At 36.8% G+C, this 24,639-nt stretch overlaps 1 protein-coding gene across 35 annotated transcripts in view, besides 1 other annotated feature; it reads right to left on the bottom strand.

Moving 5' to 3' along the window:
* Positions 1-24,639, bottom strand: part of MAP2 (microtubule associated protein 2) — a 310,066-nt gene that overhangs the window by 259,705 nt on the left and 25,722 nt on the right. The window lies entirely within an intron of this gene.
* Positions 22,786-23,287: an enhancer, noted in NCBI's record as "NANOG hESC enhancer chr2:210315845-210316346 (GRCh37/hg19 assembly coordinates)". NCBI's record gives its function as "activates a minimal SCP1, AML or CMV promoter by ChIP-STARR-seq in naive H9 embryonic stem cells {active_cell/tissue: H9 hESC(naive)}" and the evidence as "EXISTENCE:reporter gene assay evidence [ECO:0000049][PMID:30033119]".

Genomic DNA, 24,639 nt, shown 5'->3' with positions numbered 1-24,639 from the left:
ATATAACTGCCTTCCTATCATGCTGTAACATAAATTATACAAAGGACTCATAACTTTCACTATCTAAGAAAAAAAAATCCAACTGACAAAACACATGCAGTAAAGTCATTGTCTTTAGGCACTTACACATTTGGCTCCATTGAATTGCAGTGACTTCCTAAAACTTAGACCAAAGTTAAGTACATTTACAAAGATTAAACCACAAATCAGTTGTAGCCAAAATTGCTTTGGTTCAACACCTGGCAGTATGCCCATATCTCAAGCTCCCCTTGGTAAACCACTATAGAGAGCATCTAAGGTAATGAGTACTACTTCTAAAGTTTGCCTCCTCAGATCGGTTCAATGTTAGAAAACAACATGAATCAGGTTTGTGGAATGTGAGTAGAGCACTGCGGAGTAGATCCTTAAGTGGTGAAACCACACAGAAATAGACAAAGATTGCATAAGGCAAATAAATACAGTAAGCTAGAAATAATCACATTTTCTCCTAGTGAAACCTTAAGAAGTAATATGTGATAATTTTTTTAAAATATATGCTGTAAAATACAAGGATACAAATATGTATTTAGTCATTGTTTAATAAGGTGCTATTAAGACAGTGATAAATAATTTTAGTTCTATTTCCTAAGTTCTAATTTTTCATTAGTTACTTCATATCTAAGGTATTTATTAAATATATCACAAACTAGTCTCATAAACACTTCAGAGATCTCTATTAATAATTCCTGTAACTTTTTGCCTGGCAGGCCAAAACTGTAAGAGTAGATAACTATACATCTCTGTTTTATCTTTATCTGTTTCTATACCCCTAAGTATAAAATTTTAAATTAAAATTTAGACACTTGGGGGTGATAAATCATAATATAAAATTGTACAGGTCTCTTAATGAAAACATATGTGACAAAAGCAAACTTTTAAATATATAGGGTACTATACCTCCTTCTACCTCCTAGGTCCTGCTGTAGACTCTTCACCCTCAAGACCTTAACTCTTTAACAAATGGATTTTCATTATTTAATTAATCTATATTAAAATACTAAGAAGAATGAAGGAAAGCAACATTTCTACTCATCAGTAAAATCCTCTAAAAGTCACTGAGTAGAAAGGCACAGACCACTTTTTTACCACTTATTTTCTCACCAAAGTATAATTATTTGCCACCAATAACCTGACAATCACTGTAAAACGTGGGATTTATGGATGAACAAACTTGGTTCCAGGAATGCTAGTAAGTACTTGAGACAGACCAGACCAAAATACAGCACAACACTAAGCAGGAAGTGCAATAATAGTTGATGTGGGGAGGACAATTTGTGACATACTTTAAGAAGGGTATGAAGTCACCAAGGAGTAGCGTCCTGCTCCTGGAGCTCAGACTGCAATCCTAGCCATCAAAGATGTTGGTCTGATGTTGAAAGAATCAGAAGAATGTAAAACCAATAAATATATACATAACAGTAATCAGAAATCCCTATACATTGTTTGAAAATTGCTAATCCACTTATGTTCTTTCCTATAAGACAGACTTGACTAGAAGATCTCTCAACTTCCTTCTAATTCATTGCTAGCATTATATTAAATATGATAATGCTTTTGTACCAACTCACAGTTGACTGTTCTTGGATATAAAACAATGACTAAGCAATTTCAGTGACGGCAATAATTTTTTTTTTGAGTAGTTCTAACCACTCATCTCTGTGTTACACAATCCTGTTTTTTTTCCTCCTCCCTCAAGGTTTAAGGGGGCAAATGGTCTTTGGTAATTAGTGCTTAACTTCTCTTCTTTCATTCACAAAGAGGTATTTCAACACTCAAGCCTTTGTCAGTACTTTGATGAATTGTGCTCTTCAATCTTCTGGAAACGAATAGCAGACTGCAAGGTCTCGTTTTTCCTGAGATTCACCTGACCATGAGCTTTTAAGTGTCACTTTACAACTCCAACATAACCCAGGGCTGGCTATACCCTTCAGAACTCTGGTGGAAATGAAGCAGCAGGCCAAGTACCTTGGCCTTCAACAGCTTCCTGACTCTAGTTTTAAGCTTGGTGTTGATATACCTTGAACAATCCTAAGGGACCCATTTTCTCCTTAATAAACCTAGTCACCAACTTAAATCCTTGGCTAACAGCCCAGACACACACTTGCTCTGAAGGCCATCAGTAATAACATCCCAGAGGGGCTCCAAATGAAAATTAAAAATCTATAACTTCTATGTGAGATGACAGATATGTTAATCTGTTTCACTATTGTAACCATCTTTTATTTTTATGTATCCCATAGCATCACGTTGTAAACCTCATATATACAAAATAAAATTTATTATTAAAAAAATCAATAGTTACATGATATGTAATTGTCAGCTGTTCATAACATATCTAGCATATTAACCCTTATGGAAAATCATTGGGATGAAGTGGTGGTGGGGAGAATAGCAAAATTGGCTGTGAAACTCCTTTTAACCATAAAATTTGATTTATTTATCTTTTCAACACAGCAGCAAAAATACAATATCTCATTTTCATGTCCTTATGTTAGGACTTACTAAAGTTAGAAATTCCTACTAATAGAGACCAGGTTTACATATATTTGACCTTATCATTAAAATTTCTACTTATTTGGCATTTTAAAACCTAATTTAACCCTTCATTCTCAAGGAACTATATTTTTAAGGTAATAACATATATCAAATAAAAGAAAATTAATATAAATAAAGTATTTGTAGAACACGTTCCTTCCTCTTTATTCTTTTATTAAGTGCCGGGGGTGGGGGGTTGGGAACATGAGAAAAATCATTTAAGTACTAGGTTAAAAAGTTCCCACAGTTCTTAAAAACTTTTAGTAAATTAATTTTGAAATAATAGCTTTCTTTACCAAATTTACCTACAATTTTAGAACAGTTAATGGTCAAACCCCATTTAATATTCCTCCCTTACCCTAGCAGCACCTACTTTTATTTAACAATTCAATAGCTAAGGACATGTAAGGCACCATGCTAGGTACTGGGGATATCATTGGTGACCAAAACCAGACCCAGTTCCCATTCTCAAAAGGCTTACAATCTAGTAGAGAAGACAGGTATTAATAGGTTTAACATAATTAAAACCTGAAGTGAGTATTCTGAGGCAAAAGAACCTGAAGGAGTTTGAGTAAGGATTCCCTTCCTGTGTAGGATGAGTCAGAATTAACCAGAAAGAGGGAGAGTGGGTGAGAATGTGAACTAGAAGAAAATGCATGTTGCCTTAGAAAAGAGAAACATGGTGTATTTGAGGTAAAATGTGGCAATGTGGAGAATGGTAGAAGTGAGACTAGGAAAACAGGCAAGAGTCAGACCATGCAGAACCTTGTCAGTCATAGAAAGATTTGTCTTTGTACCAGAAGACAAACGGGAAGTTACTAAAGACCTTTAAACAGGGACATGAATACTGATAAGTTTGTATTTTTCCAAAATTAGTCTACTCCAATATGGAGGACAAGTTGAAGGGCATGTTCAGGAGATATGGGAAAATCAGTAAGTCATTGTCAAAAGCAAGACCGTGTTTGTGTTCATTAGAGAAGATGAATGGGGAAAGATAATGTGCAAGTGGTTTTTGCCCTCAAAAAGGTGTTCCCTTTCAGTATTTACTTTTGGAATCCAGGTATATTAGTGCAGAGAAGCTGGACTTGGGAGTTAGTATAGCCACACCAAGCGCCCCTAGCTGACCTCAGAATTGAAAGTACATGGTGCATGGGAGCTATGATGGAGACAGAACAGCCAGGGGCAGTGGCTGTTAATGCGGGTGAGGTTGAGAAACTTTTGGTGACAAAGACAAGACATCTTTCTGATGAGATTTTACCCTTACCCACTGCAGTTCAGTGACATCACTTATTTTACAGGAGAAAAATACAGGAAAAGGTAGAAAAAATATTTAATTATATACAATTATATATATAATATATATGTTTATATATATTTTTTACTTAATTTCCCCTCTAAGTAAGGCAGAAGAGAAGTCTGTGAGAGGGGAGATGTATGCGTAATTACAGTATAGCACAAATTCAAACTGCTAAAGAAGACACGTTAATAATACGCTTGGCTAGATAAATATACAAGATCCCTTGCCATATGTAAAACCACTTTTAAAACAGTGCCAAGGGGCACTGTGCATGTACATGACAAGCTGTTTCTAATGATCTTCTCCCGCATAGCATTTGCCTTGCCCAAAGCATTGTTTGGATTTTCACTTCTTTCAATCACAAGTGTTTAAATTCAAACATGCTATACTAATTTTGAACATTGAAGATTTGCTATATTAAAAAAATATGGATGACTAAGTTCTGAAAGCAAACATATGTGTTTGATGCAGCAAACCATAATAAAACTGGTAGGTGGGCTGTCGAGAATGTAGACCTACAGAACAGAAACCAGTAGTTCTTGAGTATTTATTGTGAGCCACACACTCTCACATTTACTATTTCACTTAACAGTCAATACTGGCCAGTGAGACAAGAATCATAACTTCAATTTTGTAGGTTGAAAAAATGGAGGTGCATCAAGTTGAAATAATTCTGTTAGAGAAACATAACTAGTGAGTGGCAATGCTAGAACTCAAATCCTAGTGTGTGTGGCTGAAAGACAAATTATTTTTATAACCCCTAATCTGCAAGAATGAACTACACTTGCTTAGGTAATTCTTAGCCTGAGTAGGAACCAAGGCACTGACATTCCTGTGGGTGTATGGAGGGATGTGTGTATGAGAGAGACAGAGACAGAAAGGCAGAGAGGTTGACTGGTTGTGAAGGGAGGCTGCAGCAGGTGCAGAGGGAGAGTAAGAAAGGATAAAGGATGGAATGAGCATATCATTGCTTCTCTTCCTAACAAGATGGAGATGGAAAGAAGATAGAGCCCATTAATCATTAACCAAAAAAAGTGTATTGTGCATATACTTACTTGAGTATGCCCCCCAAAATAAAATTTTTGTGTTTTTAAAAAGTAAAATATAAAAAAAAATTACATCAGAAATGTTTTAGAGAACTAAGCATATTTTGGCCCAGAGAAGAAGACTCAGCGGAAGGCACGGAATCTGTCTTTTCAACCAGGAACAAACATCTTATGGAAGACAATGGAACATATCGTATCTAGTTTAAGGGAACAACTTACACAAATGAGTGAAAACTGCAGGAAGACAAGTTATGGCCTGAGACTAAGAAGCTCTATCTAGCAATGAGAAAATGTGGTAAGCTGACTCAAGAGATAATGAGTTTCCTAATGGAGGAATTCAAATAAGGCCCAAATAAGCTCAGGTCATAAATCTGTTTAAAGAGGATTCACGCATTTAAAATTGAACAAGATGATTCCCCAAATCTCTTCTAACTCTCTGGTTCTTATTAGTAAGATTTCATGACCTGGTTCAGTTTCTGGCTCAGTCATAAACTTACAGTGTGGTCCTGATAGTATCATCTTGGATGTTATCCTGGAAGCTGGAAGTTAAGAGCCACAGAGAAATGTTCCCACATGTTGGTGGCCCCAGGCACTGGAGCAGTCCCATCAACATTACTTGGTTGCCCTGTGCCTCTGCCTCCTGTTTCCTCACCTACTAAGTAAGGGTAATATATACCCAGATCAAAGATATCCATATGGTTTAATTAGATGCAATCTGTAACACTCTTTCCAAAGGTACCATATCATTATCTATTGGTGCAGTTTGCAAAAAATATAAGAATCATGAAACTCATGTTGCTGAGTGTTAAAGGGACAAACTCTTGATAAACTCAACGTAAGACTTTGTGTGCTTAAAGAAACACTAAACTGAGGCCGGGCGCGGTGGCTCATGCCCGTAATCCCAGCACTTTGGGAGGCCGAGGCGGGTGGATGATGAGGTCAGGAGATTGAGACCATCCTGGCTAACATGGTGAAACCTCGTCTGTACTAAAAATACAAAAAATTAGCCGGGCGTGGTGGTGGGCGCCTGTAGTCCCAGCTACTCCGGGAGGCTGAGGCAGGAAAATGGCATGAACCTGGGAGGCAGAGCTTGCAGTGAGCGAGATCGCACCACTGCACTCCAGCCTGGGTGACAGAGCAAGACTCCGTCTCAAAAAAAAAAAAAAAAAAAAAGAAACACTAAACTGAAAAAATCCTCCATGAGACTTTTTAGTTTTCTAAAAACTGAAATTAGCCTACTAGGAGAGATGTGAAAAATTAATGATCAGATAAAACTGGCCCAAATTTTAGAATAATTCTATTGAGAATGGACTAGTCAACTACCGAGATGAAAGTTGAATTTTTCAAGAACCAAGTGCCAAACCCCACTATGGGAAATACAATGAAAAAAAAAAGCAAAAATCTCATTCTCAAATTAGGGCTGAGGGAGTGAGCAGGCTTAGGTAAGATATGCATGCAAATAATATGACGTAAAATGTGATCCCTGTCATAAGGTAAGTATAAACCAGTTGCTGCAGCCAATTCTTAATTATTTTATGTAACAACCTCTTGTAGCACTTCATATGAGCTAGGCATTGTTCCAAGTGCTTTATATTTAATATAATCGTCATACCAACCTATGAGACAGGTACCATTATTGTCCCTATTTTAAAAATGCAGAAACTGAGGCAAACGGATGTTAAGAAATTGCACATGGTCTTATGGCTAATAAGTGGTGGAGAAGAGAGATTGAGCCCTGGCAATCTGTCTGCAGAGTCCATGCTCTTATTCTCTTTATTATCTTGCCTCTTCAGTCTAGACAAGAAAGAGTAAATAATTCTTACTCCAAGGAGAAATGCAGAGAAATAAAATACTTTAGGAATAATACATATATGAGATTTTACCTGGTAGAACAGAATCAAAATGGTAATACAGAGAAAGAGTAGCATAACAAAGGGATGATGAGAAGAATGTAAAGAGAAAGAGTATGTGAGAAATGGTGAGATCATTCCAGGCTGGTCAGAGATTCAGGGCCATGAATGGGAGTAGTAGGAAGAGACAAATCTAAAAAAGTATATTTTAAGTAGTCCTCAATGGTATGTTGTTGGAAGCTGAAATTTATTTTTTTAAGAATTGGGTAGACGTTAGAAATGATTAATCAGGAGAGTGATAGGACAGAAGATGGAATTTGGAAAGCATCTTCTGGCGGTATATTATGTAGGACAAAATGACAGGGGTAGAAACTGAACAGAAATACCCCAGGAAAGAGGTCGTTGCAATTAATTTAATAAGGGACAGAAGGCCTGAATAAGTGAGGTGGAAATAAAGTCCAAAAAAGACATAGCAAAGGTAAGAAGTGACACAATTTGTACAAATTAAATGTGGGGGTGAGAGAAAGCTTTTGCTCTGTCAATTAGAGTCTGGGTGGCTGCATGGGCATGAAGTGTTCTCCTTAAAAATAAGGAAAATTTGGCAAGAAGGAGAATGTGTGGAAGAGGTGATGAGTTCTGACTGGGACATACTGAGCTTAATGTAGCAGTGGCACACTCAAGAGAAAATGCCACTGGGCAACTGGAAATGTTAGTAAGGAACACAGGAGAGGGGTTAGTGGGAAAAGAGAGAAATTCAAGTCTTCAGTCCCTCTCATCCAGTGAGAGCCAGGTAGCTCTTTTATTTTGAAAGTGGCAAGAATTTGATCTTCTGCTGTTTTCTTAGCTTTTTGCCATGTCATTAGAGAAACTCCACAAGTTCTTTTCAATTCTTCTATTTATGAAACAAATGCCTTCCCTATCTTTAAGGGTTTTCATGGAGAAAGAAATATGTAGCATTTAGATCATGGAATCACTCAGACCAAGCTAGCTTAAATCTTTGCTCCATTACCTCTTAATTAAGTTGCCATTCAAAGTTCTACTTTCTTTGTGTGAAAAATGGGTAGGTATTATTGCCATGATATGATTATGTAAAGTACTTGATACCTAGTAGGTCCTTGATAAATGTAGCTATTTATTGGACATTTAATGTGATCTGACCACTTCATTTGCTTAACCAACAACCTGATAAAGAAGATACTACTATTAGTCCTTTTTACAGATAAGGAAACCAAACCTTAGAGAGGTGAGGAAACTTCCCAAAATCTACTTCCAAATGTCATTTTAGGGAAAAATCAGTCTAGAAAAAGTATTCAGTATGGATTAGAGCTACTTTGAGAGAAGGAATATGGCAAGTGTATACATTTATTTGTAGGGGGTCTTTTAATCAAAAGCTAATACTAGAAATCCCATTTTCTTAGGTGACAAATGTAGGCATTAATAGCTGATAAAATCAAATTTTACTCTCAAATTTTACTCTGTAAGAAACTGAGACAAACCAATAGTTTATGATTCTTTGGACTAAATAACCATTTCTTTAGTAGTCTCATGGGACTTTAACACAAACCAGCCCGCTCAATGTTTGATCATACTTGAAGTCATACATTCAATGACAGCTTTGGGTCATTTGGTAAGGAAATATTCTTCATGGCCCAGGACAAATTCCAGCATTTCTGATTCTTTGGACTCCTTCTGCAACAGTCTTAACTAAAGTGAAACCTGAGGAAGATCTGGGCCTTGATCTTTCAGAGGCTTGGCTTCACCATCACAGTGCTTTTGGAAAATGAAGTACAGCCCATTGATATATCTATTTTAAAAAATTACACCTCTGCACAACTAGAACAGGAGAAGGGAAATCTCTCAAGAACCAACATGTGTTTTAGACCTAAGGGTGTTTGCTAACCAAATTATCATTTAGACTCCTATGGAGTCTACAAATTGTAGTGTAGTGAACAAATATAAGGAAATGAAAAATAAGTTAAATGCCAAGTGGTTACATCCTAGAATGGAGAAAGTATTATTGTCTTTGTAATAACTGAGACTACTGAATGGAAAGAATTTTAAAACCCAGGTTTGCTTTTCAACATGTTCTCACTCTATACAGTCATGAAATTAACTCAGAACTTTTAGAGAAAGTAGACTAGAAATTTATTTTCCAGTTTTCATGCAATACCATATTTTGTGTGTCCTCCTCTTACAATGATAGAAACTAGAAAAGTTATGTTATATGCAATTATTTTGCCTTTTAAAATGTGAAAAATATTTATAGCAAATGTTATATTACTCACTCCAATGATAGATTACTAATGCACATTTTTTATTCTATTTTGAATGTGCCTTGACTGATTTAGTTTATTTTTCTTTCACTTTTTTTTAGACAAAAGTATTTCTGGAACTATGTCATTTATATTATTTTCCTAAATAAAATAATCTCTCAGTCAATTAACTTTTTTAGACCTTAGTCCTAACCATAAAAATCTAATTATAAAAGAAAAGGGACTGGATTAAATCTTCCCTAAGTCTCCTTCCAGCTCTAAGATTTTATTAATTCACGACCTTTGGAAAAAAACTAAAATGCCCAACACTGGGGGAATGGTCATAGTCTATTCCTGTGATATGATGCGTGCAGCATTGAGAAGAAAGCTTATGATATTACATGAGAAGGGTGGGATAGATACAGAACAGTATATATTTACACACACAATTATAATTATCTGGATGTGTGAGTATACATATATACATGTACACATACACAGCAGTATAATTACACTAACAATAAAAAGAACACTTTTTTAAGAAAGATGTTACAAGATGATTTCAGTTTTGGGGGAACACAGGCAATTTTAATTAATGTCATTGTATTTTCAAAACTATATTAGTTGTCTTTAATGACCTTATAACTAGATAAACAGTTATTTTTAAAATCCATTCTTTGTAACCTTTAGTAGAAGTTGATTTTTTTCTAACCTAAGCAATTTTATTATTAATGTGTTACTGATAAATACAGTATAATTAATGAATGCTGGACTGGAATCAATCAATCATGTATAGTTTAATATCTGTAGAGTAATATCACTGTTTTCCAGCTTCATTCTTTCAGGAAAACAGAAACAATGTCACCTTCAAGCGTCCTCAAACTCTCCCACACCAAACAGCAAACATTGCCTAATAATGTTACAAAAATGGGCCTGACTGCAATAATTTATTCTTCATTAAGTAGTATAATTTGAATAAATCTAAATTACTTCATTGACATTACTTTAAATAATCACATGTAGAGATTTTTACCAAACTAATTCAAGAGTTGGAAATAGATGGTTGTGAGTTCCTAATATAAACTATATTATTTTCAATCGAAGTACCTGTGCTAATTCCTCAGAAAAAAAGACTAACATTGAAGCTATGTCAACAAGGGACAAGCTAATTTTTTCTTTATACTGAGATATAATCATCTATTTTAGTGAACCATTTCAATCATTCAAAGAATTTGGGATGGCATAGAGCACAGTCTCAAATTTTGGACTTGTTACTGTAGACAGACCTGTTCATGAAGAAAAATAATACAGTAATACAGCTAATTTTCCCCAGTCATCCATTAGTCATTCCTAAACTCTGTGATTTGAACACCTGTAATATTTGTCATGTTTATAATTAGATGTCTCAGAGTGAGGGAGATGTCTGTATGTCAAAAACTATATAAACCACTCTAAATCTAGCGACTGAGAGCTAGTTTAAAAGGCAATCCCTACACCAACAATTTTCTTTACTTCACTGAATCTACAGTCTCTCCTTTGACTCAGGCAAATAATAGTATTTTACCAACATTCAAACTTTCAATAAAGACGCATCTACAAAGATAAAAAAGAAAGTGGGACGAGACAACTACCATAGATTATTTCAATGATTTCTTTTAGCAACAGTTAAAATGTTATAACTCAGGTTTTACCCTTTTATCCTGGGCAGTTTAGGTTAGATTCCAGTTTCCTCATATGTGAAATATGGGCACTGATTTTCAGTACATACATTTTTATGATTTCTCTTTGTAAATGTATTATGATTATATCTCATTGGTATATATAAGAATTATAATTACTAACTAATAAGCATGCCTTGATTTCAACTTTTACAAATTCACAAGGAAAGAATATGTTGAAAGCTGCTTCCTCCCCAGAGAGAGGCCAAAAAAAGAAGAAAAACATTCTCAGGCCTCTAGTGGCAGAAGTCAGACCTTACCTAAAAGCAGACCAGAAAGCACGACAGGGACACTTCTCCAAAGGAACACTTTCATGAGACAAGTTAAGAAATGGTAAGAAGTTGACTTTTATTATTTTGTATGAAATAAAACAAATTAGAAATAGCATGACTTATCAGAACAAATTTTAAAAGACCATATTATTAAGAATAAATATGAGGTGATTAGAGCCAGCTTATAATTGTAGAATGACACTATAAGACTCAGTATAGAAACAATTTTTGCCATTTCTTCCTCCATCTCTTCCTGCCTTTTCTCATCTCAACATTTATCAATAACCACATGAGATAGATTCTGAGGATCCATAAATAAAAGACACACTCATGTGTGTCTTGAAGATGAAGACATCTTCAAGTTACTCGTGCATGTGTGTGTGCACGTATTTGTGTGCACGTGTGTGTGTGTGTGCATTATGCTGGGAGTTGACAGAAGAGCAGGCATACAAACAGATAATTACAGAAAAATCTCTTTTCATTTAAAGAGATTGGGCTCCCAAAAGCCTCTATTATAAGATTATTTACAATGGAAAATCTTAAAACTAAGTGGAGAATGTTAGAATTTAAATGATGTCTTTGCAATATATTTATTTACTAAACCCAAGCATCAAAGACATAACTCTAACCAAATACTAAACCAATTATATCCTTTGCATCTCAAACTAGTCATAATTAGACTAGTTTAATAGCTAATTAGATTAGTTTAATAGTTAATTATTGCTACCATAATAGCAAAAATTGGTAAAAGATTTGTGGAAGAGAACATCCAAAGTAAGAGCATGGTGCGGTCTCCTAATTGGTCAGTGGTTTTCAGTTTCATGACTAGAGACTGACTTTCTTTTTGTCTCTTGGATCCCAGCTCCTAGGTTCTACTGAGCTCTCAGAGATACAAAGTAGTGTACATGCCTGAAAAGGTTGCCTATAAATAACCTAATTGGAATAACTAAGTATTTTTCAAACCTCTGGTCCAATATTTTTAGTTCCATGGCATTAACTCTTCTTGTGTTAAATCCATGACAAAGTCACTGTCCTTTTTACACGTGGCTCACTTTTCAAGGATACCACTGGAGTGCAGTTCTGAAGCCTGTTTTTACCTCCTTTATTTTTTCTGATCTTGCCCGATAAGGTCTAATTGAAAAGTCCAACCATCTGCCATCTATTTTATTTCTCTTTTCTACATCCAAACACCAGTTTCCCCTTTTCTCACAACACTTATTCTCAAAATGAAAACTAGAACAAAACGTTTCATAGTTGTCAAAAATTGAATTGAATTAACATTCATATATTTTACCAGGATTTTTTATAAAGCAGCTCAAGGTAGGAGAGGAATTAAAATACAGTTTTGATAAGTGTGATGACTCATAAAATAAGCATGAGGTACTATTGGGCCCCTTAGATGCTAAAGGCATCTAAACCAGAGAGTAAAGGCCAGGGAAGGTTTTCTGCCAGATTATATCTGGATTAAATTCCATGGATTAGAAAAAAATCAGAAGAAAAAGGGAAATTCAGAGGAATAACATGTGTAAGAGTACTGAGATGAATGAGAATAAAACAGACCTGAAGAGTGGCAAAAGAAGAGGCTGAAATACTAGAAGATTAGAGACCAAAGAAACAAACAATAAAAACAATTAATTAAGAATCTATTAAGGCCAGGTGCAGTGGCTCACACCTGTCATCCCAGCACTTTGGGAGGCCCAGGGGGCGGATCACCTGAGGTTGGGAGTTCAAGACCAGCCTGACCAACATGGAGAAACCCCGTCTCCACTGAAAACACAAAAATTAGCCAGACATGGTGGCACATGCTCCCAGCTACTCAGGAGGCTGAGGCAGGAGAATAGCTTGAACCTGAGAGACAGAGGTTGCAGTGAGCCGAGATTGTGCCATTGCACTGCAGTCTGGGCAATAAGAGCAAAACTCCGTCTCGAAAAAAAAAAAATCTATTAAACTACGAATTTTAAACAGGGGAATTATTTAAAGCCATGCTATGCAGTCAAACTTTCTGCAATGATCCAATATAAACTTATGTGAATCCATACTGTCTGGCATGGTTGCCACTAGCCCCATGTGTCTCTGGAGCACTTGAAATGAGGGCAGTGCAACTGAGTAACTAAATTTCAAATTTTATTACATTTATTTAACTCAAATGTAAGTAGTCATGTAGTTCATTTTGGAGAGCACAGATTTTTAAACAAATGCTTTATTTTTAATTTGAACCATTGTGAATAGTTTTCTGGTAGTAATAATTAAGTTTACTTAATAATCACGTTTTCTGGAGTATTTAATGGGTTGTTTGTTTATTTTTACTTTCCAGTGAAACAAGTTTATATCTTCAAAGTTTCCATTTTTTGGCCGGGCACAGTGGCTCACTACTATAATCCCAGCACTTTGGGAGGCTGAGGTAGGTGGATCACTTGAGGCCAGGAGTTCAAGAGCAGCCTGGCCAACATGGTGAAAACCTGTCTCTACAAGAAATACAAAAATTAGCTGGGTGTGGTGGTGCGTGCCTGTAATCCCAGCTACTCGGGAGGCTGAGGCAGGAGAATCACTTGAACCCGGGAGGCAGAGGTTGCAGTGAGCCAAGATTATGCCACTGTACTCTGGCCTGGGAGACACAGTGAGACTCTGTCTCAAAAAAACAACAACCAAAAAGTTTCCATTTTTTAATTACCCACAAAGTAAGATTCTACTTACCACAAACAGAAGAAAGAGAAAATTTGTTATAAATTAGTTAAAAGATGAAAAAAGAGAGTGAAAAGAAAGAGAAAAAAATAAAGAGGAAGGAAAGAAGGAAGGAAGGAAGGAAGGAAAAGGAGAGAAGGGAAAGAGAAGGGAAGGAAGGAAAGAAAAGGAAAGGAAAGGGAAAGGGAAAGGGAAGATCATTTCTCCTAGTTCCCCCATATCCCAGTTACCAAGGGAATTTTTTTCTCTTTCAACTCTAAGGCACCTGAGTCACTAAATTTATTGCACTGCAGTGATTTTCTAGGGCCAGTGTCTACCTTATGAAACCAATATCCACGTCCCAAAGAACCAGTTTGTTCTTTTTAAAACCACCTATGTTGTTTTCCTCTGAATAGGCATAGCTGACATAGACCGTCATTGTAAACACGGTTAGTCAGATATTAGTAATCTTCATACATTACGATGGCCAATTTCTTCATCTATTTTATATACTTCTTACTTCATGAAAACGATAATTCCAGAATTTATTGAGGAAACTATGCACACATGCACACACACAGTGAAATATCACATTTGTACTCACAAATTAAAACAGGTTTGTAAAAACTGAATTATAATTTCTAAACAGAATAATTTATGTGCTGAGTTGAAAAATTTTACCCCACTTAGCTGAATCTCCAAGTATTTGTTTTGTAAAGGAGGTTGGACTCATAGAATATCAGTTAATCTAGCAACAGGCCTTATTTGCTCATCAGAGGTTGTGGCTGATGTGCAAGAAAGACAAGGAAAGGGGCTAAGAGTTGGAGAGACTCTCCATGGGCCTGAGAGGGTTTCAAGTACTAAGAATAGAAGCTCCATGGAATAGTCAAACATGATGGGTCCAAGACCTACAGGACATCCAGCACAGTCCTGCAGGCATGAAGACTAGGGCCTGCAAGTCCCAAACTGCTACTAATCAAAAAAATGCATGGTGGCCTGGTAGGCAGTGCACATCAGAGAGATTTACCAATGAACCTCAGTGATGTGATTGTTCTCTAAGGCAGTAGAAAAGCACCTCAGATGTAAGAGAGTCCAGGGAGTCTCATAGAGTGCTAGAATAGAAATCAGGACAAAAGAATTACAGTAGAAACCCATGTATGAGAGCTAGACACCAAGATCCGAATCTGCCTGGAGGGCAGAATGGGATGATGCACTGCTGAGACAGACTTAGAGTTGTTTTCCTGGATCTTTAACTTTAGGCCAGGCTTCGTCTTGAATATTAGGAAAGGGGTAGATTTTAAGGGGGTATCTAGTGGTCCCAGTTATGGAGAAAAAGTAAGTTCCAGAGGAAAATAATAATAATGATGATGACAGCTAGCATTGGACAAGCACTTAAGATGTGCCAGGCACTGTTCTAGGGCTTTCCATGTCTCACTTCACTGACTCACTATTCAACCTCAAAACTATATGAATGGCATTATCTCCATTTTACAGATGAGAAAACAGAGGCATGAGATGTTAAATAATTTACCCAAGATGAGAGCTAATAAAGAGTGGAGCCATAATTTAAACACAAGCAGTTGGACTACATAACTCATTCTCTTAATTAGTACACTATATATACTGGGCATGAAAGGGCCAGAATACTAGGGAAAAAATTAAAATGTCTTACAGAGGTAAAATGAATTTCACAAATAGCAATAGCTTGATCTATATTTCCTTATCATTCAACTTTGCTCAATGATTATTTGTCAGATAACATTACCTTTCTAAGCACTTTACATGTATTATAAATCATGCGATCTCCCCAACAGCCCTATAAGCTACATATAAGTATCATCTCTGCTTGACATATGAAAAGACTAAGGTATAGAGAGCTTAGAGCACTTACACAAAGTTACTCTAGACCATATGCTCTTAACCAGTATCCTTCACTGCTTCTCAGGCAGGTGGAGGGAGCATCGTATGCCTCAAACACCTCTATGGGACTTCTGATGGGCAGGAGGCAGCCTGTGTGATTCAGGTTTGGAAATACTGAGCTCTACCCATATGAATTATTATTGTGATTAGAGGTAAACAACACAGATGCTGGAGAAAATCCAAAATATCTTCACTTTCCCTAAACTCCCAGTTGCTTTATTATTCAAATACAGTGACCATCCCCTTTAGGCAGTCTCAACTATCTCTCAATAGGCAGCCTGACCTCTTACTGTGAATGAGTTCTAGTTACTTAATTACTTTGCATGGACCATATTTTGGTTGGTGTTAATCTTAATCTCAGTTTTCCTGTTTCCTTTGCTCTCGATATTATTTCTACCTCCATGTCCCTAACCCTAGAACAGTTCCTTTTTAAAAAGTTTTAGTTACAGAGGGTATAGTTGGAATGCATCCACTCATATAATAGTGGTATAACTATACAGTCTTTGAGTTGTTAGGGAGGAGGTAATTTCCCTCCAGACCCTCTGTGTTGCCTGCTCTGGATAATTTACATTCTTCTGTGACTCCAAACAGTGTAATGAAGACTTTACTAACAGGTGGTTTCTCACTGGGGAATCTCCTGTTCTGGGAGTATAGCCAAGCCTTTTACAATGATTCTACTTTATTAAATGGGATTTCTGGCATTTTAGCAGCAGAGAGTTCTGCCAAAGTAAAAAAAAAAATTACCTACTTATTTGTATTATCCCAATGCTCAGGACACACTAATAATCAATACTGGAAACATAGTGCAGCCTTTTAAAATTTAACAAAAAAAAGTTGGCAGTCCCAACAAAATCAAGATAAAAACACACTGTGGAGATATCTTCCTTTATAGCTGCAATTTATTTGAGTGGTTGAGAAGGGCAGTAGCATACTGTGGCCCATGGTTTGTGGTTCACTTTGGATCATCCTAACTTAAGAAGGAAAGGCAAAGATGGCAATGAAACTCAGGTATCTACACTAATAGGACACAACCTGGGCTATAATCCCCCATCTCCATGTCCCTATCTCTAGAACGCTTCTCATGTATCCTCCCATTTTCAGAGAACTTTCATGTGATGCATAGAGTTTAGTCATTCCAACAATCCTATGAAGTACATATGGTGGATATCCCTGTCCTCTTTTAATGGATGAGGAATTTGATGCTCAGAGAGAATAAGCTACATGTTCAGGTCACAGAACTCATAAGAGTTGCAGTTCAGAGCTTCATTATATGACCACCGGTTGAATATTCTTTCTACTATACCAAAGCATCCCATTCACACAAAAAATCTAAACTGAATAAACTTCCTTAGGCCTCCATTTTTGTACTGTATCATTCCTGCTTCCAAAAATGAGCAATAACGTAGGATGCACTTGTGCATGTATGCAGTCATTTTCTAGCAGCTGGTTCACTGCTCCCCAGATAAGATACATAGGTCAACAAGTACCTCTCCAGACTAGGTGGTGGGTAATTTAGGAAGATTTTGCCAGACCCAGTGAAAGTGCAGAAAAGATGAGCCAATATCTATGCAAAAGCTCATCTGGGTAGCTGCCATAGCCAAGCCATTCACGCCCTTCACGATTCTTAATATCTTCATCTGTAAAACCAAGAAAGAAATAACTACCACCTCAAAACAGGTTGTAATGTTGAATGAGATAATGTTATTGAAACACATTTTATACAGTAAAACACTAACTAAATATTAACTGTGATTAAAATTATTACCTATAAGTGGAATGGGGTTCTCCTTAAAGTGATCCACCTAATTTCTTTTGATCTGTGCATGTGTTTGTGTGTGTACATGTGTGTGTGTTGGAAGAAGTGGGCCACCAATTTACTTCCCTAAGATTCCTATAATGATGACAATTTATCTATAACAAAGACCATGACACAAAGATGAAGATTGTTCTTTATCCCAACTCCCAATTCTTGAATGTGATTTACATGGAGTTTGCAGTTTATAACATGCTGTTGTGAGCTAAGTGTTTCATATGAAGAAGGCACACTGTTTCATAGGCTAATGTCTGACCTAAGGAAGTAAACAGGTAACTTGTGGCCTCTACTTGTTAACATGTGATCACAGTGAACAACAATGACCACAACACTTCCTCTTTGAGGGATCAAGGACAAGTGCAATAAATGGAACAGAGAAAGTAGAGCTACTCTTAGTTTGTCATTGGCTCTTTTCTTCCTCCCTCCCACATGGTCTGTATGTCTTGGTATCTTTGCAGGCTTTCCCTAATCACAGATACAGACTCAGTTTGCAGCCTTTGTGCTTCCACCATTCTTTCTCATATCTAACATAGATTCACTAGGACCCACACTGCTTCAGAGCAAGAGGCCTGAGTAGTAAAATGATGGTTCTTCATTATACCACAAATGTGGTACATTACCTTAAACTGGCTCCTTCATTCACTGGGCCTCAGTTTCCCCATTAGTAAAATGAAGGTTTAGAACAGTGACATCTAAAGTCCCTCCCAGACCTGATATTTTTAATACTATAAGCAGAAAACCAATCTTCTTGGTTTGAGATTATAATTCCTAAGGATGCACTGGAAGATCTTATAAATCCTTTCCGATTCCTGAAAGTGACAGGATTCACCATTTAGCACCTCGGATGTACCTTACCACATGATAAGGTTCATTTAAAAAATTACTCAAAGGCACAAGTGTGACAAGATGCCAGGGAGTATGAGTGATAGTCACTTCTTTTTATGGCTGCTTTAGATCAAAGATGCAGAGGTTTTGACCTTGAGTCCTAAGGAGTTGTCAGTAAAACTGGGGTACATTGACCTAACAAGATCATTCTGAGGATTACAGGAAATAGTGTAGATATCATGTTTAATAATATGCCTGGCACTTAGAAAATCCAAAAAGCCATTCACAGTAATGGTGGTAGTAGTAGTAGAATGCTAGTACTCGCAAGGATAATGTGGGTCAGTCAGTAAGGTGTAGAGCCAAGTGAATAATTAATACCTTAAGAATGAGAATCCAGTTATTCTAAATCACCACAAGCAAGACATCCATTCCTCAGGACCAGGATTACAAGGTGGCTTTTTAAAACATTACTAGAAACCTTAAAAAATTTATTTATATATCAGAGTCATCCAGCTCTACATATATTAAGAACATGAAGCCGTGTTTTTTATTAATGCTCTGCATTTTATACAAGTAATTCATGCTAATAATTTTTGAAGTGTGTCAGGAAATCTTCCTAAAGATGCATCCATATTTTGAACATTTGAGGATCATTACAAGGGATGATAAATATGAAACAATAGTACACTTTCACCTTTCACTCTGGTTATCATGAGTAGAGGCCAGCTTTGACAATAACAGCACAGAGCTGGAGCAATTTCAGAGATAAAACTACTTGTTAATCTATTATATTTTAATGTGCCTTTAAAATGTGATTGTTCATAAAGACAAAATAAGATCAAAAAATAAAATTCTAACTTTATTACTTACTATCTGTGTGACCTTGGACAGATTATCTATCATCTCTTCATGTCAGTTTCTTCATTTGTAAAGTAAGGTTGATAATGGTACCTACTTAATAAGATTGTATAAGGAAAACATTAAGGACTAAATTATGTCCCCACAAGGTTTATATGTTGGAGACCTAACCTCCAATGTGATGGTATTTGGAGATGGGGCCTTTCGGAGGTAACTGGGTTTAGATGAGGTTAATCAGGGTGAGGTCCTCATGATGTGATTAGTGCCCTCATAAGAAGAGACGAGAGAGCTTGCTTTCCCCCTTTCTCCACCATGTGGGGACACAGCAAGAAGATGGCTGTCTACAGTCCAGGAAGACAGTCTTTACCAGGAACTGAATCTTCTGGCACCTTGTTATTGGACTGTCTAGCCTCCAGAACTGTGAGAAATAAATGTCTGCTGTTTAAGACACACAATCTATGGTATTTTGATACAGCAGCCAAAGTTGACTAAGACAGAGTAAATGATTACACACACACACACAATGAGTGCAATGCACCTGTTTAACCCTTAGTCTAGTACACAAATATTTGTTATTATCATATATTTACATAATAATGCAACTACATATGATTATGTATTCTATATTTTAAAAGACTCTTTTAGTTTGCTATGCAGTGGAATTTACTAAGATATTCAGTATTTAGGACAGGTGCAGTGGCTCATGCCTGTAATCCCAGCACTTTGAGAGGCCAAGGTGGATGGATCACTTGAGGTCAGGAGTTCATGACCAGCCTGGCCAACATGGTGAAACCCTATCTCTACTAAAAAATACAAAAACTAGCCGGGCATGGTGGTGGGTGCCTCTAATCCCAGCTACTCGGGAGGCTGAGGGAGGGAGAATTGCTTGAACTCGGGAGGCAGAGGTTGCAATGAGCAGAGATCGTGCCACTGCACTCCAGCCTGGGTGACAGAGCGAGACTCCATCTCTCTCTTTATATATTCAGTATTCAGTGAATATATTGATGATTTCCTAACATATTAGCTGTGGTTGAACAATCCTGCCTTACACCAGAAAGAAGAATGATTCCTTTTTTCTTATTTTAGAATTGAGCTTTTTCACTCTCTCCTGGGCTGAGCTAATTGCATTAAAATTTGTCCTCTACTTTTTTTTTTTTTTTTTTTTTTTTTTTGAGACAGAGTCTCGCTCTGTTGCCCGGGATGGAGTGCAGAGCGCGATCTAGGCTCACTGCAAGCTCCGCCTCCCAGGTTCACACCATTCTCCTGCCTCAGCCTCCGGAGTAGCTGGGACTACAGGCGCCCGCCACCACGCCTGGCTAATTTTTTGTATTTTTAGTAGAGATGGGGTTTCACTGTGTTAGCCAGGTTGGTCTTGATCTCCTGACCTTGTGATCCACCCGTCTGGGCCTCCCAAAGTTCTGGGATTACAGGCGTGAGCCACGACACCCGGCCTGTCCTCTATTTTTTTTAGTCCAGTAGAAAGGTTATCATATAGTGCCATCTGTGTACCCTAATCATGTCCACATTAAGATAGTGACTCATGTGAGAAATATCACTTTTCCTGACATGACACCCCATCTATGTAAAGAAAGAATAGGGAATCCTTTGGTTTAAAAAAATAATTTATTGATAAAAAAAATTTTAAACAAGAATTTTAGTTACTAACAGAATATTATGTAATCTTTTTATTTGGAAGGATAAAATGGGCACATATAAATGTTTGAGATGATTTAGGCTTTAATTTTTAGGAAAAAATATAAACAGTAACAGTCATAGGTATATATACATGTAATCCTAGTCCTCTTCCAGCCCTTTTAAGTCGTTATGTTGCATTGTTATGTATTAAAACTGTACATTCCAATCTTAAAGTACTTTGATATTAAGTGGGTAGAATCTGATATTTTATTTCTTAAGTGGGGAAAAAAACTTTCTTTTTAACACATGAAATTCAACTTATGCAGGAATGAATTTGCCAAGCAAAATGCCAAACCGTTACTATCATGGCCAGTTTGTCATTAATTTCTTAAACAAAGAAAATACGAGATAGATAATGGCTGATCATGCATCATTAAAGCAGAGAATATCCAGGGGTTCAGATAGCTCATCGAAGGAACAACAACATCGCTACACTTATTTTGTCATTCTGAGATGGAATAACAGGGTATTAATCACAAAGACCATAAGGCACACCATATGAATTGTGTTTTCGTATAAGCCACAGAAATCACTTTTTGGCTATCCTACACTTAAAATATAGACATGCAGGAGAAAACACAAACAGAAAGAAATAAAATTGCAGGATTGAAATATAAGAACTTTGAGCAAAAACAAAAGATTAAAGCTAAATATTTCCAATTTCTTTTACAATGAAGAAGAAAAAAATGGATAGGTATAAATTATTTATATATATAAAAGATCAATAGTGTTATAGAGACAACTGTGACCAACTAAGTGTATCCTTTTGATTGTTAAATAAAAGAATGCTATAAGATTGCAGCAAAGGAGTTAAGGTAAGATATTAAAAACAGTCCCCTCTACTTCTCTGCATGTTTCAGGTTGCATAAAGAACCGTTGGCTGGTACTGAGGTATGTATGCAGGCTAAAAACTGAAGGGAAGAGAAGCATTATAAGAGATAGGACTGTATGCTAGAAGTACCAAATATATTGCTATCCAGAATTCTAAAATGTGGATCCATCCTTTAATATGGTTTTATTCTAATCCAACTGATGAAGTTTCATTCGAAAGATGCACTTTGTTTGCCCTGTCATTATCAGAGGCAAAAAGAAAATGGGATGCCTAGGGATATGATATGCCTCAGGATACCATAAAGGGGTACTAACCATGATTTTTTTCTAGGTATGTGAAAAAATGCAAAATGTATTCAGAGGTGTTTAGATGAAAGGAAACTGATCTATGCTCAATAGGAAAGAGGAGAGTTCCTGACAGAATGCCTTTCTAGAGAGAAGGACCTGCCAGGGGATAGGATGAAAGTGGGTTTTACATCCTTGAAGAAGCTGCTGAAACCAAATAGCTCCTAGAAATAGGTCTTTAGTATTTGCATATAGGTCAACCCTCTCCCCTACTCTGTCTACTTGTAGAGATCACAGATCCATCTCTAAAGGAGAAAAATACCTAGACTGTCACTTCATACCCTTTCACACTCCTAACCTCAAAGAAATGATATGGTTTATTCTCAAGGCTAGACTTGCAAACAGCCTATTTTGATTTCAAGGTGTTCTTTTGGGTCCTCAATTAGTTCTACATGAACTTGGTGCTTTCTAAAATTGCATTAACAATCAATACAATCTTTTTATTGAAAAGAGAGAAAGATGAAAAACAGAGTTCTAGGCTGAGGTATGCCTCTCTAAAATTCATCGATTTTAAAATATTGTGTGGTCAGTAACAAGGGTAACTGGTGACTATTATCAGGTTCTTTGTGAGAGTAGAGAGAGGATTAGGTTGCAAGAGAAAAGCTGGCACCTAAAGATAAAGTCCTTACTGAGTCCCCCAAAATGGAGCTTAGAATTTCAAAAGAAAAAACAATGTTGCAGACAGAGCTATTTTTAGCCTCCTACAGCTGTGCCTACATACACCCAGCAGCAAGTTTGCTGAATGTCTGCATTAAACACTAAAGCCCTGTTTAGTATGTGTATGTGTCAGGCTCCAATTAGAAAAGTGGGCTTTTGATGAAGGGATCTCTCATAAAGAGCTACGGATAAGGTTACGGAAACCAAGGAGGGATGTTGCAACAGCCAGGGCTAGAAAAGTAGAAAACTGTTACCACCTCAGAGCCATGGGAGCAAGGGGAGGGAACAGTGTAAACAGACCCCACCACAGCTACTGCCAGGAAAGGGGGCCTGAACTACTTACCTGGGAGGCACAGACACTGTGGGAATCTTAGCAGCAGGGCATGGAGGGAAGGGGGAAATAAAGAGCTGGCCTTGCTCCTTTCTCACCTGCTGATCACCTATTCTTGCTCCCCATTGTCTGAATCCAACAGGAAGCCAGAGGAGCAGCAGCCTGATGGGCAGACGCCTAGGGTCACACTCACCCCCTCACCAGGGTAGAGAAAGGTGGAGAGTGGATGAGTGTGATGAGCAAATGAAGATTATCTTTTATACATTTTTTTCCCTAAACATAGTCCAACTTCATGTTATAGAACCTTCTGTATCTAGGTGTATCTTATATCAGTATCAGAGGATAAATAACTCAATTGTTCAGATTCAATGTATGTGGATTTGGATTACATTCTTCAGGTTACCAGGCCAGCAGATATTGTCTTTACATACCCAGCAGAAGAAATAAGGAACAAAACTCAAACTTGCTAATGGCTTGGGAAAAAAAATTATTTCATAACTTAGAAATCTAATGATTATAGAATTAGAAATTCTAATAATTATATAATTCTAATAATTACAATTCTGCAGTAGCTTCCAGTTTCTAATCTCATTCATTTTTCTGATATTATATACTATACTGCCCATTTTAATAAGCTACACTGAGGTGATTTCTATTTTTCTCTGATTTATTAAATATATGTAATGAATCAAAAAAGTCATAGAGAAGTCAGACTTTCCAATGAGCTACAGTCCTTAATCACATAGTATTTGTGAGCATTAACTTTTTACAAGATACTCTTGGATGATATAGAAGATACTGAAGAAGTGTAAGACATTACCCCTATCTTCATTACAGACATTCTGAGGAGCATATAAATATACTTGAACAAAAGCAAATAATGAAGAGTTTTAGATTCAAGTACTAAGTGATGCAGTAAAAATATGTGATTTATACTGAAGTGTAGGAAGTAGATATTAGAAATTATATTTATGATTCTTCCCTAAGACTAACTGAAATGAAATGTTACTAATCTGTAAATTGACATGGGAGACTTCACTTGGCCTATAAGTCAAAAGCCACTTGTTACTGAGGCCAAGCGATGACTGGATGGCTCTTAATAAAGGGAGTAAGAAAAGGTTCTTCTTGTTCATTGCTCTTGGCTTATTACATGTGTGACAGTTTATGTGTGCCTTGGCCAGTGGATGTGAGGTTTAATAATCTGTTAAAAAAAGGTAAGTTGGCTGTGCACGGTGGCTCACACCTATAATCCCAGCACTTTGGGAGGCCGAGGCAGGTGGATTACTTGAGGTCGGGAGTTCAAGACCAGCCTGGGCAACATGGTGAAACCCCATCTCTACTAAAAATACAAAAATTTGCTGGCCGTGGTGGTACATGTCTGTAGTCCCAGCTACTCGGGAGACTGAGGCAGGAGAATCACTTGAACCTGGGAGGCGGAGGTTGCAGTGACATGAGATTGCGCCACTGCACTCTAGCCTGGGCTACAAGAGTGAAACTTTGTCTCAAATAAATAAAATAAAATAGAATAAAAGAAAATAAAAAAGATAAGTGACTTAAAAAATTCCCTATGCATAAAGAACAAATGGAAGATAATACTGATAATACAAGTATACTCCTGCAACACACAGCAATAAAAAGTGTCACTAACCTTCAATACAAAATCTTTTCAGACATACACAATGAAAGCCTATTCA

Source organism: Homo sapiens, chromosome 2 (genome assembly GCF_000001405.40).
Source record: "Homo sapiens chromosome 2, GRCh38.p14 Primary Assembly".
Taxonomy (NCBI): Eukaryota; Metazoa; Chordata; class Mammalia; order Primates; family Hominidae; genus Homo; species Homo sapiens.
Note: the sequence above shows the minus strand (reverse complement) of the source record. Positions and strands in the feature narration are given on the sequence as shown.